We start from the raw sequence: 17,567 nt of genomic DNA on the forward strand, positions 1-17,567 counted from the left end.
CCCGTACCTCTCAGTAACACAACCTGCCTTCTTGTGTGTGCGCACATGTACACGCCCACTCCTCACAAGTGGAAGCACGCTGCTTCCTGTATGCCTTTCAGAGCTGCCCCTCTGCCCTTGGGGTGTTCATACCAGCAGCCTTGCAGTTCTTGGTCAGTAGGTCCATCTCGTAGCCAGGGTAGCACTCACACTTAAAATAGCCCTTGTAATTGACACAGATCTGGCTGCAGGCATCTGGGTCCTTGCACTCATCAATGTCTGTGGGGAGGAGCAGGAGTCAGAACCAGCAGGAGGATCTGCTTCTGCTTGGGGGTGTGGGAGAAGGTCTCACCGCCACAGGTCTTCTGGTCCAGGAGCTGGAAGCCTGCTGGGCACGTGCATTCAAAGCCAATCTTGAGGTCAGTGCAGATGTGTGAGCAGCCGCCATTGTTGTGCAGACACTCGTTCAGCCCTGGGGAGGGACATGGGCTCCTGAAGGTCCAGGAGCCCAGGAGGAGTGGGGGCAGGGCAGGGGTAGGACCTAGAGCAGAAGCAGAGCCTCAGGGCAGTGGGACTCCCATAGAGGCAGGAGGGCTCCACAACCTCACTGAGCCTCAGCCTCATCTACCAGGTGTTCTGGGCAGCAGGCGGCACAGAGAGGGCAGGTTCCTACTCCAGGCCAGACACAGAGACAGGGTAGAGTGGAACCAGAACTTAGGTCCCCGGCCTCCCGGCTGGGGCTCTGTCCACCACCAAGCTGGAGGCAGCTAGGCCTTCCCCAGTGGCCCAAGGTCTTTCCTTTCACAAACATGTTTCTCACAGCGCCTCCTTCCTCGTGACCTCAGAGTTGAAGGGTCCTGTGTGTGTCACATCCAACCCTCAGGATACCCTAAGAATCCCTTCCAAAATGCCCCTGCTTAAATATCTCCAGCCTCAGGGAGCCCACTTCCCTCCTGGGGCAGCTGGCTCCACTGTGGACCAGCACTGCCTGCTGAGGCTTCTGCTTGTGCTCCCAGCTCTGCTGTGTGGGGTTGGCCAGGGTGCACAGGCTCCCTTAAAGCACTGATATCTGGTCTCCTGCCATTTGGGTGCCTTTCTCTGGACTCACTCCATCTGTCCATGTCCCTGTCTGGACAGGGCCCAGAGCTAGTTTGCCACCCAGAAGGAACCTGAACAACACAGGATGCCCCCCCTAATGTGCTTGTGGTTATTTAAGACTCCTGGGCCTTTTTTAACATGGAGCCATTGCTAAATCAATTCTCTCCTATCATGAACTAATATGATGGGTTTTTTAACTCCTCTCCTCTCAGCACCTGTCCCTGTTCCTCCTATCTTGTCATGGGCCCGGTTCCAGGATTACCACCTGCTGCAAGAGGTGAAGGGATGCCCAGAGGTCATCTGGTTCTGGTTCCCCATCCTCCACTCCCTCACTACCTTCTGGCAGGGTCTTAGGGGAGGTCAGGGAATCCAGGACCAATGCTCTTACAGCCTCTCCTGAGCTTTAGAGTCACAGAAGGTTAATTCCACAAGCCAAGGAGAGGTGCCGCGCCCCTCTCCCCCTCTGCCCCCCAGGCTCATGCACTGCCACTCCAGCCAAGCCAAGCAGTGCTGAGCTGAGCCAGCCATGGCCATGCATATAGCTGGTCTGAGCTGCCCACCCCAGGCCATGCACAGCTATGGGGTGCCCCCACTTCCAGCCTGAGCCATGCTTAGGGAATAACCCCTTTACCCCTGGGCCTCCTCCTGTTTCCCAGGAATGTTGGCGGAACTGAAAGAACAAGACCACAGCAACTCCATGACTGGGGGACCCAGGGATGACTCAGCCAGGCCCAGCCCTGGGAAGCCTCAGACCCTTGGAGGTGGGCTGAGCCACGGCAGCTCCCACCTCTAGGAATCTTTCAGTCGCTCGGAGCCCTCCCTGACCTCTCCTTTCCTGTGTTATTCCCTGAGCACCGTTCATTCATCTGTCCTCCCACTCACCCACTGCCCCCATCATGCATCCACTCGCCTCCTTCCTCTCCTTTTGCAGCTAGCAACAACTCAACAATTCTATTTACTGAGCACTTGATGAAGTGGCATGTGTAGGTGGGATGGCCCTGAAAGGGGGAAGGGGAAAGGAGAGAACTCAAAGTGACTGGCTTCTGATGAAGGAAGGCACAGAGTCCTCCAGGGCTCAGGTGGGTGAGGGGAAGAGAAAGGAGAGCAGGTCTGCACCTGTCTGTCCCTGTAACCTTTCCCCAAATGCCTGCAGGGAAGTCTTCAGTCCTTCTTAATTCTACCTAGCCTGGGTGTGATTCCGCTGGGGAGCCAGGAGAGGAGGGGGATGGGGTAGAGTGGTGCAGAGAGGCCAGAGTAGTATTTGCGGCTTCCTTCCATGGAAGGAAGAAGTGGTGTCACTGCACACACCTACATGCACACACCAGCATGCCCACAACTACATGCACACATACCAGCTTATGTGCAGAGCACAAACAGTCCCATGGACTCCATAGATACATTCACACATACATGGGGTCACACACATAGATGCATGAATGCAGTTCCCCTGCTTTACTCAGAGAAGAAGACATGGATACAGACACCGGCCTCTCACCAACACAGAGACAGAGGCCACACACAGACACAAGCACGTGTGTACGTACTCCTCTTTGGTGTGTCATGCAAACGACGAGAGAGAAGAGAGGGATTAGTAGGACAGTAGTCCCTGGCTACTCCAAATCTGGGTGTTGGGGGAGCTAGGCTCAGTAGTTCTGGCTTCCCTGTCTCTTTTTCCACAAGTTCCTTCTTCTGGGACTTCTCTTGGCAGGGCCTGGAGGCAGAGGGAGTGTCTATCTCCTGCCAGCTCAGGTAGAAGCTGAGTCACTTTCACTCAACTACTCTTCCTTTCACAATCAGTTTTTTAATCTTCAAAAGGGGAAGGAAATATGCTCTTCCTGGGAAGCTCAGGAGGATGAACCTCCTCTAAGCACCCAGGAGGTAGGTGCTGGGGAAACAGTCTGCCAGAAGGCAGGAAAGGGAGGGACTGACCTAGCCTCTGTCCTCCCAGGGCTTCTCTGTCAAATCTCCCTCAAGCCCTAACCTGGGAACAGTAAAAACAAAAAACAAAAAAAAACTCATGAACCTTCCTGGAGTCCACACTGGGTTTCTAGCATGTTCTCTGGGATGCCCACCCTACCTACAGCCTGGAGCCTCTGTTCTTTCTAGCCTGGAACCCACCCTGACAGCTGTAGCCGACATCAGGGCAGCCACTTCCATCCAGGTCTCGCTTTAGTCTGGCCTCCAAGTCTGGTCTCCCCATCAGGTCCGAACTCCTCAGGGCTTAGGATGGTGCCACCTCCTGCTGCAAGGCCTGCCTTACTCCCACACAGGTATGGCCTGAGCAGTGGCCCTGGGATGTGCTTCACCTGGCTGCCTGCCTGCTGTGCCCACTTCTCCCTCTGCTGGGTCTTCTGCAAGGGGCTAGAAGACCTCAGAGCCCAGGGCCTTGGCTGGGTCAGCAGGGGAGGAACACCGAGGAAGAGAGAAAGTTCCAGAAGGTCTCAGAGGTCTGAACGGGGAAGGAATGAGGAAAGGCCAAGTTTGTGAGAGAAAACATAATTTTTTAGTACCTGGGATGGACAAGCTCTTAGCACTTTGTAGAGATGTAGACCAGAGGCCTGGGGGCGAAAAGCCCCATGTGAAGCCATAGGACGGCACATGAATCCAAAGAGAGGGTCAGAGCAGAAAGTGTCAGGGCAGGGGGCACTGGAGGGCCTTGAGCCTAGATACCAGGAGGGGGATGGTAGGAGACTGAGTCCAGCCAGTGGGCGTAGACAGGCACCGCACCACACTTTCAGAAGCTCATCCGACCAGTCCCGGCAGTCCCTCTGCACATCACACACTTTCCCGCCGTCCACGCGCTTGCCACTCTTACACTGAAATCTGCGGGGACCCTCACAGGGTGACTCTGTTGGGCCGGACAAGAGAGTGGACAGTGCCTGTGAGACCTTGGACAAGAAGGGCTGGGCTGGGGCCCACAGGAGGCAAGCAGAGCTCCAGTTCCAGTCCCTCACAGGTCCCTGGAGGGTGGCCCAGGACAGACAGGTAAATCCAGGAACTGAGGAAGCTCTGCTCACAGGACAGGATCCCAGGGATGATTAGGAGGCTAAGCCTCATGTAGCTGGGCAGGGCTGTGGGGATCTGCGTCTCATCTTGCAGGACTCAGGTCCTAGGAGGACCAGGCAGCAGCTCTAGAGAGACCTTAGAGGCTGGACTGATCATCTCCTGGGGGGACTTTGCCCCATGGACCCCGGATAGGGGAAGTTGCTACACTGCCCAGCCTGTTATCCATTCCCCAAGATGACTAGTGAATGAGGGTCCCTGCTCCTGCAGAGGGCAGGTGGTGACCAGAAGAACCATCTGAGAACTAAAGGGGCTCCCTGGGGAGCAAGACTCAGCCTCTGCTCAGCCTGGGAACTAGTGAGGGAAGCCACTCACCAGCTGGGACCTGGACAAGTGGTGGGGGCTGGACTTCCCAAGTGCTCTGTCATGTCCCCCTAGGTGTCTTTCAGCTTTGGCAAAGTCCTTACAAATCCAGTTCTGGTGCTACTAGGACCCCATGGAAAGGGAGCCAGGTGATTTAGGGGCAAGTGATGCTCTGGGGGAAAATGCATCTTGGGGACCAAGGGGAAACTCCTCCCAACTCTGCCCTCTGGAGAGTTACCAGAGCCTAGGGCATCCTCACAGAGGATGTGTTCTGTGCCCTGACCACACGCACCCTGTAGGCAGCCAGCTTCATCACTCCCATCTGGACAGTCCTGCTCCTGGTTGCAGTGCTTGATTGCAAGGACACATGTCCCATCCCCACACTGGAACTCGTCCCCACGGCAGGTGCCCAGTGCTGCCAGGAGAGGGCAAGGGGAGAGGATCAGAGTCAGTGTGGTGCTAGGACAATTTCCCCACCACCCCAATCCCCATGCCATAGCCACCCCCAGCAAAAACAGAACCAGTGGCTGAACTCAGGAGTCCTCAAAGGACACCTGGCCAAGGCACCTCAGTGTACAGATGGGGAGACTGAAGCTCAGAGAGGGGGAAGGCCTTGCCCAGGGTCACACAGCACTCTGGCTGGCAGATTCAGGACTAAACCCAGATCTCCTGTTTCCCTGTCCCTGCCTCTCTCCAGGGCCACTCCTCAGAACAGACACACGGCCTTCTTTTGAGTCTTGGTGCTCATTACTTAATGACTTCATCCATTTGGCAAACCTTCCTGTGCCAGGTGCTGTGCTGGGAGAGGTGGAGGTGGGGGTGGGAGCCCAGAGACTCCTAAGAGCCTCCTCATCCTCTAGGAGCTCAGGGTGCAGAGCAAGGGTGAGGAATGCTCAGATGGGGACATCAGTGTGAGATGAGCTATAAGAGAAAGCTGCTGGGGACCTGCCCAGCAGAGGGACCCAGCCCAGCTGGGAAGGTCAGAGGAGTCTAGGCCAGGCCTTGAGGAATGAGCAGGCCTAGCGGGTAAAGAGATGGGGGGAGCTCCTGAGCCTGCCAGGTTTCTGGGTGGAGGGGTTCGGGGGATGGGGGTGGGAAGTACGACTGGGAGGGCTCACAGCAGGGACACAGATACCAGTGGAGGCTTCTGGAGTTAGACCTGAGCTCCGCAGCCCGGCAGCTGCGTGAATTCAAATAAGTCACCTCACTTCTCCCAGCCTCGGTCTCCTCTGTAGTAAACCCGGGTAATGTATTCAGGTAAGGCAATGAAAGGAAGCCTGCACCTGGCGGATCCGGATCGGATAGCGGATCCGCAATCCCTGGGCGGGGCTGGGCGGTATGGAGGGGGCTTACGGCAGTCGGCCTCGTCCGATTTGTCTTTGCAGTCGCGGTCGCCGTCGCAGCGCCAGCCCAGGTGCACGCACTCGCCGCTGCGGCAGGCGAACTGGGAGGCGGTGGCGCAGGCGGCGGGCGCGGACGTGGCCCCGGGGCCCGGACGGCCGCAGAGCTCGGCTGCCTCGTCCGAGCGGTCCTCGCAGTCAAACTGGCGGTCGCAGACCCAGCGCTCCGGGATGCAGGCGCCGCCGCCATCGCCGCCGCAGCGGAACTCGCGGGGCCCGCAGGCCGGGTCTGCACAGCCGCGCTCATCGCTGCCGTCACCACAGTCGTCGTCGCCGTCGCACACGAACACGGCGGCCAGGCACGAGCGGTTGCCGCACTGGAACTCGTGCGGGGCGCACACTGCGCGGGACAGAGAGCCGGTCGGCCCGCCGACCCCCTCCCCGGCCGACCTGGGGCCCCGCTGGTCCGGCTACAGGGGCTCCGACCCTCACCCGGGGGCCAGAACAAGTGCCCTTTGGGGGCTGAATGGTGGACGTGCAGTTAGGCATAGCGAAGGCGGGCTTCCAACACGGACATGCTAGGTGACTGGCAACACACCTGCCCTTTGTGAGCCCCCCAGGCCTCACTGGGTAAATGAGCATGAGCATGGTGGGACTAGGAGGGGGATTCCGAAACCTTAGAGCACTGCCTGTCTTGAAGGACCCTGCTATGGTCCCAGGACATGATCTGTTAAATGACACTGACCCTTCCCAGGGACCAGGGTCTGGGGTTGGCTCCTCATAGCATAGCGATGCATAGCATAACCTGCACTGTTCCACCTGAGTCCCCTGGCCTGGTATCCAAGGCGTCTCTTGGGTCAGTCCTGTGGCTCCATCACCTCACTCCTGAATGTTCGCAGCTCCCGCCATGCTAGACCATTTGCTGGGCCCAGTGCACAGGCTCCCACCTCCAAGCCTTTACTCAAGTTGCTCCATCTGCTGGGAACCTACTTCTTGCCCACCACTACATTTTGCAATGATGAGCTCTCATCTTCCAAGGGCCCAAATTCCACCTCTTCCATGACACCCTGGCGTTTCCCCGCTTGGGAAATCTCTGCCTCTGCCCTCGTTTCTGAGCCCCTCAGTCGCGCAGGCGTCTGAGTTTCATGTCCTTTTCAATCTGCCCCAAGAATCCACACTGCCTGGGGGTGTCCCTCCTTTGTCCTGAGGGCCTGGTACAGAGCTCCCTGTAGTGAGTGGGTGTGGAGTGGATGGAACTGGTCTGGCCCAGGTATGAGGTATAATTATGGGATGTGCAGTAATTAAGGACACACGTCATGGCTCTGCTTGGGGCTCTGGGCTTCTCTCTGGTAGGCTAGTCTGAGTTCAGTGGCCGGGAGGAACTTAGAGGCCAGCCAGCCCTATTGCCAGTTTATAGATGGGGAAACTGAGGCCCAGAGAGAGGAGCAGCTTGCCCAGGGTCACACAGTCCATGACAACAAGAGAACCAGAACTCACATTTGGGGCTTTTCTTTCCTACTCTGACTCCTCCTCTTGGCTTTTCTGGTTTTCTCCTCCCTTCCTGGAGTTTTTCCAGCTGTTTTTCAGGGCAGTGACCTCCTCACTTCCCTCCCTCCTGTGCGTCCACACACAGGCCAAGACCTGGCCCCGGGATGGGGGTAGGCCCCGGTGGGGCACTGATGCAGTGGCTGTGGCCAAAGGTGAGGTGGTGGTGGCAGCACCAGATCTTTCCACGTGGGGGCGCCCAGAGTCTGTGTTTTCACTTTCTGATGGAAAAATGTGAATTTTCATTGTTATTGAAGATAAAATAGAGTGATGTCTTCAGTTTCACCAGGTAGGTAGCTCGTGTCATGCGTTTCTGACAGCTCTACCAAGTGTCTGACAGTTGAATTTTTTTCCCCTCCTGGGCTTTTGAGACACTGGGGCATTGGTGGAAAAAGCACATGCTGCCACTGCCACTGCCCCTCAATATTACGCTGACACCTAGATGAGCTCCCTTCCTGCCTGTCCCCACCCAACTTGTGCATGTGCAGGGAGGGTGGACTCACTGCTTTCTGGGAGTTCTGATGGGAAGTGCTTTTTTTTTTTTTTTTTTAATTTTCTTTTTTGAGATGGAGTCTCGCTCTGTCGCCCAGGCTGGAGAGCAGTGGTGTGCTCTCAGCTCACTGCAACCCCACCTCCTGCGTTCCAGTGATTCTCCTGCCTCAGCCTCCTGAGTAGCCACCACGCCCGGCTAATTTTTTTTTTTTTTTTTGTATTTTTAGTAGAGGTGGGGTTTCACCATGTTAGCCAGGATGGTCTCAATCTCCTGACCTCGTGATCCTCCTGCCTCGGCCTCCCAAAGTGCTGGGATTACAGGCATGAGCCACCGCGCCCCGCCTTAATTTTTAATTTTACTTGAAGACTTGGATGGCAAGGAAGTGCTTCTTCATACTGAGTTTTCTCTGAGGTTTTGGAGCCAACAGTAACTTTAAGATCCATATTCTCAGGCCTACGTAGGCCGAGAGACCCTACTCCTAGCACTCACAAACGGAAGAAGCTCTGAGAGATGAGGGGTGGGAGGACTCTTTCCTCTGCCTAGGAGGGTGGAAGCTATAGCATAGAAGCCCAGTAAGACCTTCTGACACCTCTCTCTCCCATAATTAATGGGGAATGTTCCTATTCCAACATGCCCTAGTTGGAGAGACTCCCATCCCTTGCAGTAGCGGCCTTCATATTGGAGGAATCATCTGATTATGGGGCTTGGTAAAGAGGAAAGAGGATTCTCATTGGCCAGTGAGTCCCAGCAAAATTATCACAGCTGAGGAAGTGAGCCAGTGCCATCACTGGGACTTTGAAACTGCTGTTCCCAGCCAGGATCTCCCTCCATACCCAGATGCTTCCTGCTTCAGACACATCAAATTCCAGACTTAGAATCTTAAAGTGTGACGACTCAGACACCTCTGGAGGAGATGGCATTTTCCCTGGGCCAGGAAAGATGGATAGGATGCAAATATAGAGGCTGGCAGAGGGGAGTAGGCAGCAGTGATGGGCAAGTGCCTGGCAAGCCCTCCAGGGTGACCGCCCGTATTTCAGCCCAGCCGCACAGCCTAGTAGCGACAGCCAGTCTGTCTCCCCCACTAATCATGTGTTCCCAGAGGGAAGACTGTGTAGGATTCACCTCACTGTCCCTTTCAGAGCCTGGCTTCAGGCCTGGCACACAGTAGGTGCCCCTCGAATTGAAAAAGTGAGGCCTGGCCATGCTCCCCAATGGCCCAGGCCCTGCTGGCCTGCTCCCTGGGAAGGAGATAATCCTGTGTTTGAAGCTCAGTGATGTGGAACTGTCCCAGTGACCACTTCCATCTGTCCCTGCCGAGGCTGCTGAGAATGTCTTCTCTGCCCTGTGACGTCTGTGCTTGAATCTGAGATTTCAGCAACAGTCGTCCTTGACACCTCAGGAATCCGTCCCCCTCCCCCCAGCATTGCTGGCGCCCTGGCTCAGACCACCGCCATTTCTCCACGCAGCACCCTCCCTGGTCCCCCTGCCCTTGCTCCAAGATTGGCAGACTTGTGGGATGGATGAGCAGATGTCAGACATGGTAACAAAAGCTCATGGGCTTTGCTGTCCAGTCCTGAATCTGAATCTTGGTTTCATCACTCAGCCTTGGGTACTTTTCCTCCCTTGTCTGAGCCTCAGTTTCCTCACCTATAAAATGGGGATGATAATGGCTGCTCATGAGGTGCTTGTGAAGATGAAAGAAGACCATGTCTCCATAGAATCTAGCCATTACTAGTGTCCTGATCGTTATCCTTTCCTCTCCACCACCAAGCCCCACGGGGAACTGGGCCCCCTCCCCAGAAGTGGCTGCCACTCCCTGAGGCTGCCTGACCATGCTTGGCAGACCCTGGAGATCTGACCCCAGACTCACAGGTAGCACAGCCGGCCTCATCCGCTCCACCCTCGCAGTCCTTCTCCCCGTCGCAGCGCCACGAGGCAGGTACACACTTGTGGCTGGTGGGTCCACAGCTCAGCTTCTCTGCAGGACACACCTGCTTGGCTGTGGAGACAGACGTCCATGCATAGCTTAGCCAAGGGGGACACAGGGCATGGTGCCAACCAGTCCTACCACCCTGTTCCAGCCATCTGGTCCAAGGCCCTAGGAGTCCATCAGGGCTCTTCTGGCCCATGTCTCAGTTTCATCAGCTGAGAAGAAGCCTCTGTCTGTGCCAGGAATTTTCAAATCCTAAATCTGACCCTTCTCTACATAACATCTTTCATGGCCCCCTGGTCCCTGGCCCTCAAGTCCCTTTGATCCATTGACTTCTGCCTGCCCCTCCTGGCCACACCTCCCATCCCTCCAAACCTCCACTTTAAGTTCTGGCAACATGGAGCCACCATGCCCTGCACTCTTCTCTGCCATTTCCCAGCTGTGTGCCCTTAGGTGAGATATGCCCCAGCTGGGCCTCAGTTTGCCTTCCAGATCAGTGACTCCATGATTGGAACCTGTAAATTTGGAGGGCTCACCAAGGCCCCAACGGCTCCAATCGGCCCGCCTCTAAGCCCCCTCCCCGAGTGATGGTGCTGATCCTGCTGCTGAGAGCAGCTGCTGCATGGCAGGGCCCAGCGGGACTGCATAGCTATAATTACTGCAGCCGCAATCAGAGGCTGACTCAATCAGGGGCCTGAAGCCCCAGGGTTGAATCTCAATTTGGAAGGAAGAATGAGAACCCTATTCAAGGCTGGGGACAGCTCTTATCATGAGTTTCTGCTGGACCCATGTGACAGGCTCAGCCAAGGCAGATGCATCTCAGACCTCCGTGGTTGGCTCCCTTCAGCCTTCCAGGGTGTGCAGGAGGCCCGACCTCCGTGGTCTCTAGGATGTGCCAGGCATGGTGCTAGACACTTCCATCTAATTTTCACAATAAGCCAGCAGGGTGAGAGGATTATGTGCTGGCCTCCAGCATAGAGGCGGAGAACATGGGCTCTGGAGCCTGGCTGCCTGGGTTCAAATCCTACTTCAATCACTCACTGACTATGTGACCTTGGCCAACAATCCTTATCTCTGTGCCAATAAAGTGGGGATAATACTATCTCTCATAGGATTGTTATGATGACTAAGTTAATGTCTGTAAAGCAAGCACCTAGAAGAACACCCAGCCCAGTGCTCACTAAATGTTACCTACTATGATTATCCACACATACCAGATGACTCTGAATTTTGCTTATTCACTGAGTATTTGAGCACTGCTGTGTGACAAACATGGTGGTAGGCACTAAGTTCTGGTCACAGAGCTGATAAAGAGCAGTGTTAGGATTGACTGAAAGTCAGCTGTGTCTGATGCCGGAGACTCAGCACAATCCATTTCTCCCCGGAGGCAGTGGGCTACTCATGCTTCGCCCTCCATTTTGCTCTCTGATCTCAGACCAGTTTCTCCTCTTCCCATTTCTATAGCTGGGATGAGAGACCACAAGGGATACAGAAAAGGGCACAGATGAGTTGGGGAGGGGAGCAGGTATCTGAGTCAAGGTCCCTGGACACCACTACTGCCATGGGAGAAGAGCATCTTAGGCCCCTGAAAGTGAGGTCCCCAACGTTATCCCTAGGAATGCATTTCATGAGTACAGGGCAATCCCTTGGGAATACAGGATTCCTGGTATTCATTTCACAGAAATTTCCCTTGCTCGAGGATTGGCAGACTTGTGGGATGGATGAGCAAATAACTGTCAGGTTGAGCTCTGGAAAGTACTAACCCTCAAAGGCCTTTTATATAAGGCCACCTTGGGGCTGCAGTGCAGGGTGGTGAAGGGAAACTGGGAGTTGGGAGATGGGGTCCTTCCAGGGTACCTCTATCACCAACACTGCAGGACCCCAGGTAAGCACCTCCCCTCTGGGCCCCACTGGAACACAGGAAGCTGAAGCTGACCAGTGCTTTGCTGGGGTCCTCTCATCAAAGGGTGGGGGGTGAGGGAGCTACTCAAAGTGCAGGTTCCTGAGCCTCAGCTCATACTGACTGAATCTAGACTTCTAGGGCAGAGCCTAGGGATCTGCATTTTAGTAACTCCCCACCAAAACCCAGGGGATTCCCATGCACCTCTATTTGGGAACCCCTGGGTTGGTTAACATTCTGCAAGCATAGAAGACAAGGGATGTTTCATCTCTTTTCAATTCACTACGATAAAAGTGATACAGATGTTCCATACACTTGCAAGCCCCTAAGAGAGCAATGGGATGGAAGGTCAAAGCAACTACTTATCCCTAAGCCAGGCCTCAGGAAACAGAACCTCTCAAGGGAGGGGGAGGGGAGTCCCAGTTTTTGAACACCTAAGTTGTGTCAGGCTGCTCTGTGCTGAAAATTTTATATTTTTTCATTTCATTCTGCCATGGTCTGAACGTTGGTATCCCCTGAAAATCCATGTTGGAACTTAATCCTCAATGTGATAGCATTAAGAGGTGAGGCCTTTAGGAGGTGATTAAGCCATAACAGTACAGCTCTCTTTAATGAGATCAGTACTCTTACAAAAGAGGTCAGGGGGAGCCTCCTTGCCCCTTCCACCACGTGAGGATGAAGCAAGGAGGTGCAGTCTATGAGGAACGGGCCCTCACCAGACACGGAAACTGCCGGTGCCTTGATCTTGGACTTCCTACCCTCCAGAACTGTGAGCAACAAATGTCTGTTGTAAGGTAAGCAGGCCTTGCGGGCTGCCAGTGCAAATTCCGGGGGTGCCATTCACAAAGGTCATCACATAAGTGGCATACCCGGGCCACTTACTTACTACATACCCGGGCCACTTACTTACTACATACCCGGGCCACTTACTTACTACATACCCGGGCCACTTACTTACTTACTACATACCCGGGCCACTTACTTACTACATACCCGGGCCACTTACTTACTTACTACATACCCGGGCCACTTACTTACTACATACCCGGGCCACTTACTTACTACATACCCGGGCCACTTACTTACTTACTACATACCCGGGCCACTTACTTACTACATACCCGGGCCACTTACTTACTACATACCCGGGCCACTTACTTACTTACTACATACCCGGGCCACTTACTTACTACATACCCGGGCCTTACCTACTACATACCCGGGCCGCTTACTTACCTACTACATACCCGGGCCGCTTACTTACCTACTACATACCCGGGCCGCTTACTTACCTACTACATACCCGGGCCGCTTACTTACCTACTACATACCCGGGCCGCTTACTTACCTACTACATACCCGGGCCGCTTACTTACCTACTACATACCCGGGCCGCTTACTTACCTACTACATACCCGGGCCGCTTACTTACCTACTACATACCCGGGCCGCTTACTTACCTACTACATACCCGGGCCGCTTACTTACCTACTACATACCCGGGCCGCTTACTTACCTACTACATACCCGGGCCGCTTACTTACCTACTACATACCCGGGCCGCTTACTTACCTACTACATACCCGGGCCGCTTACTTACCTACTACATACCCGGGCCGCTTACTTACCTACTACATACCCGGGCCGCTTACTTACCTACTACATACCCGGGCCACTTACCTACTACATACCCGGGCCACTTACTTACTACATACCCGGGCCACTTACTTACTACATACCTGGGCCACTTACTTACTACATACCTGGGCCACTTACTGCACTACAGCAGGGCAGCAGTCCTGCACGTAAGCACTCCATTTTATAGATGAGGAAACTGAGGCTCAGAGAGACCAAGTAACTAGCCCAAAGATGCACAGCAGGCGAGAGACCGAGCCTGGGTTCCTATGACTAGAGCCTTGCCCTTCCATCAAATCCTGCATGCTCCAGAACCATCCCCAAACTCTCCTCACAAAAGCCCAGGTGACAGAAAGGGCCCTTGGCTGTACGCTCCACCTCCAGGGTGGACCTCCAGGTTCTACAGACCCCAGTGCAGCAAGCGGCTGCTTGAACTTTTAATGAATATTTATATAGTTAATTGCATAACCTTTCAGCAAGGACAATGATTAAACAATCTGTCTGCTTCCTTTCTTTATAATTAATAAGACATTTGCTGTGTCCCTAAATAGACAGCTCTAATTATAGGTTCTCAAGGATTCAGCAGTGCCTGATAACAGCCCTCCACCCTCAAAGAGCCAAGGCTCTTGGAATGCCAGGACTTGAGAGATCTCAGAGGTCACACTGATGAACATCCCTTGGAGTGGCAGGAGACCAAGGCCCAGAGAGCAAAAGGGACCTGCCTAGGGTCACACAGCTACTGGCAGTTGGGTATTCCAATTCCTGTCTCTCCTGGAACCTCACTGTCTCTCCTGTGATGTAGCTTTCCCCCAAAGGTAGGACTTGAGCCTGGCTCGCAGGGTCCCAGGTCAGGCCTCTCTACTCCACAGTCCTGGGAAGTTGGTCTGGGTAATGACTGACACATGGTATCACCCTATGAAGTGGATATTCTTACCTCCATTTTATGAATGAAGAAAGTAAAGCCCAGAAAGAGTAAGTTGTTTGTTCAAAGGCTAGTGGTGAGAGGCAGATCTGGACTTCCATCCCAGGTCCAAACACAGTGCTTAACTTACTGCACCTAACCACTGCACAAGAGAATCAAGCAGACCCTGTTGGTCTCCCTGGCACCACTGGCCCAGAGAGAGGTCACTGGAGGAAGGGGACTCACTGAGCCTTTGGGCAGGTTCTGCACGATGGCCATCTGATGTCCACTCTCAGGATAACTGAAGCCCAAGGGCCCCCAGCAGCATGATGTAGGAGAAAGAGCCTGGGTTTTAGAGTCAGACAGACCTGGATCCAAGTTTCATTTACTAAAACTAAGGTCCTTAGGCAACTACTGAACCTCTCTGCACTCTGGCTCCCCTCATCTGAAAATGGGGTTGAATAATCTCCTAGGGTTGGTGGATGGCTTAAAAGGGGAACCATATGGAAATCCCTACACTCAGAGCCTGGAACAAACTAGGAGCTCAGAAAACACTTGCCCTTGTTTTATTTCATGAAGTGCAAATGCCAATGGCTGGGGACGTGCCTGTTGTCACCACTGGGGAATGCACATTATAAGTCCACATGGTCCACCGCGATGCAGACCCCATCCCAGGACAGCCACTCCCTCTGTGACAGATGCCCCCGGAGGGGACCATATGCCTTTGGCCTGCTCTCCAAGTACCCTAGGTTCTGAGAGGCAGGAGTGAAGAATCCCACTGTCTCTCAGACAACAGGAACCCTCCAAAGCTGGCAAGGGGGCTTTTCATGAAACTCTGTATCCTGGAGTGGCTCACGGCATTTAAAGGCATTTAAATTCCCAGAGAATCCTGCCCCAGAAATTCAAATCCATTGGTACTTTCTCCAATTCATAAATTCACAAATTAACGAAAAGGGCAATGTCTGTTAAAGAATGAAAGTACTTGGCGGCTGCCCATTGAGGGAACGCATCTACAGTGTCAACCCACGTGAGTTTCAGGGGCAGATAACCTCCAAATGGGGACTGCCAGCTCTAAGGGACCAGAGGCTCCGGTGGTGAGAACTGCCAGTGTCACTCAATCCACAGGAAGCACAGCATGGGGCCACCCAAGGTGCAGAAGGGGGAGTTACACCAAGTTCCTTCAGTCAAGGCCAGGCAAAATGCTGCTAGCTGGGTCAGTCCCTAACTTACTGAGTGAGCTCAGAAAATCTCTGGGCCTCCATTTTCTGATCTATAATAGCAAGATGAGCCTGGTTAATCAGAGAGGCCCCCCTCCCAGGTGGAAAGGTTCTAAGATGCATGAAAAAGCCTCCATATTCAAATAAATAGCATCCAGAACTATAACTCACCTTGAACCATCCTCCCCTCCCCCACCCTCACCCCTCCCAACAGAAGCCTGAAGGTGGGTCAGAAGCCGTCCCCAATCAAGTGAGCTATAATTAGAGCTGAAATGCTATTGCCATTAGGCAAATGTTCTGGGCTTTTCCATTGTGACTCCTGGCTACATTTGATAGGTACAGAACACAGAACCAGAGGGAAACAGAGCTGGGAGAAACCCCAGCCAGCTAGGGACAGACAACATAATCGGGGAAAACACAAGAATTGGGACCTTCTCTCAAATCCCTTTCCCGCTCAATGCAACTCCCTTCACTGACACTATTTTAACACTGTAAGAATCTAACATCTTAATATCTAACACACTGTTGTGTTGGGGAGAGGGGGCTTGCAGCCAAAATATAATAATACAAATAACACTGCCATTTACTCCAGCGATGATACTTGCATTCTTTCATTTGATTCTCACAATCCCTCTAAGGCAGGTACCATTACCACATTTTACAGATGAGTAAACTGAGGTTCAGGATGACTGGGCAGCTTGCCCGAGGTCTAACAGGTTAAAAGACCTGAACCCAACTATATCCAATCCCAAACTCACTACACTTTACTGCCTATAATCTTTCTTTTAGGGGTAGGGAATGGGGCTCCATCCTGGGAGCTGGCATAGCCCCAGGAACCTGGTGGGCCGTGGAGGTTGCTATGGCAACACCAATTAAATGGATAGCAGGTTGGCTGCTAGGTTCTCATTCAGTTGGGAAGCAGTGAGCAAGCCTGCTATCAGGTCCTGCTGCCCCAAATTCTGCCTGACCCTGACCAGAGCTCCCACTCTAGCCAACTTCCTCCAGGCAGTCTTCCGCCTTGCCTACACCGACCAATGTAACACAGGAAGTGGGTATCATGGCTCTTGCACCCCAGCTAGCACAAGCAAGGGGGAAAGGGGGTCTCAGAATACTAAGAGTTTAGGAATCTAGGAATGGAGAAGATTCTGGAATTCCGGAGTGTTACTGATCAGGGCCCAGAGGGAGGTGGGAAGATATGCAGGGCTTCACAGTGAGTAGCTGGAAGAGCCCACAGGAGAGCTGGGCTTCTGTCTCCTGGGGTGCTGCCTTGGCTACTGCTCCCATAGACGCCTTATGAAACCTCAGAGAGCTCGAAGAGCCTTTTTTCATAAAAGGGAGACCTGCCATGGATAAGCTGTGTGTTTTTGAAGGAAGTCTATCAACTTCTCTGGGCCTCCTGTTGTCCCTCAACTGTGAAAAGCGGGCCTGGGAGGCAGGAGGAATGAGGCAGGAGGGCCCCTGCCCAGCCCAGGGGATGGGAAGGCAGCAGGTGCTGGGATGGGCAAGAGGGAAAAAGACAGAGGGACACATGAGTAGGGCAGTGAGAAGAGATGGTGAGAGGGAGGGTGAGGATAGGAGATGAGCAGGGAAGGGAGGCAGCCCAAGAGGGCAGGGGTGGGCGGGACCCCGAAGGGGACAGAATGGAAGATGAAAAGGGACATCCACACAAAGAGATAGAGACGGGGGTGGGGGTGGGGCAGGGGGAGAAGGGGAGCCTAGCCCTCAGGTAGCAAGGCAGCCCCCTCTGATAACCACGATGAGGCTCCTCTCCCTTCCCTTTCTGCCCCCATTGTCGGAGTATCTGCTGGAGTGAGGTACGGATGGAGGAGCTGGCTGACTGCAGTGAGGGAAAAGCTCCCTGTGGCCACAAACCCTCCCCAAGCACACACTCCAGGCTGCACACGACTCTGCCTCTTGTTAGCTGGGCAGCCTTGGGCAAGGGGGAGAACTGACTCCAGCCTCAGTTTCTTTCTCTCTACATGGGGATCCTCCTCCTTCCTTAGGTTGCCAAGAGGATGAAAGTCACAAGTGGGCGTGGCAGGGCTTTGTTCCTTCTGAAGCTCAGGACAAAGCACTGGGCTTCCCTCCTGCCTGGGAGCCTTCAGGACGGCATGGAGTTTGGCCACGTGGTGGGTAAGGAAAGGATGGGGCCTGCGGCATGGC

General features: G+C 54.1%; 1 protein-coding gene across 4 annotated transcripts in view, besides 2 other annotated features; it reads right to left on the reverse strand.

Annotated features, from left to right (window-relative positions):
• Positions 1-17,567, reverse strand: part of LRP8 (LDL receptor related protein 8) — an 85,707-nt gene that overhangs the window by 28,532 nt on the left and 39,608 nt on the right. For 2 of the 4 annotated variants that reach the window (NM_001018054.3, NM_004631.5), the window contains exons 4-8: positions 9,692-9,820; positions 5,797-6,183; positions 4,736-4,858; positions 332-451; positions 133-258 (exon numbers count right to left, since the gene is read on the reverse strand). In NM_001018054.3, coding sequence (NP_001018064.1) covers positions 133-258; positions 332-451; positions 4,736-4,858; positions 5,797-6,183; positions 9,692-9,820 — 885 coding nt within the window. The remainder of the gene's footprint in view (positions 1-132; positions 259-331; positions 452-4,735; positions 4,859-5,796; positions 6,184-9,691; positions 9,821-17,567) is intronic. The other 2 variants (NM_017522.5, NM_033300.4) reach the window with 2 other exon arrangements.
• Positions 81-581: an enhancer, noted in NCBI's record as "H3K4me1 hESC enhancer chr1:53736648-53737148 (GRCh37/hg19 assembly coordinates)". NCBI's record gives its function as "activates a minimal SCP1, AML or CMV promoter by ChIP-STARR-seq in primed H9 embryonic stem cells {active_cell/tissue: H9 hESC(primed)}" and the evidence as "EXISTENCE:reporter gene assay evidence [ECO:0000049][PMID:30033119]".
• Positions 7,493-7,552: an enhancer, noted in NCBI's record as "active region_1044". NCBI's record gives its function as "activates an Ori minimal core promoter by ATAC-STARR-seq in GM12878 lymphoblastoid cells {active_cell/tissue: GM12878}" and the evidence as "EXISTENCE:reporter gene assay evidence [ECO:0000049][PMID:35858748]".

This window comes from Homo sapiens, chromosome 1 (assembly GCF_000001405.40).
Source record: "Homo sapiens chromosome 1, GRCh38.p14 Primary Assembly".
In the NCBI taxonomy this organism is placed as follows: Eukaryota; Metazoa; Chordata; class Mammalia; order Primates; family Hominidae; genus Homo; species Homo sapiens.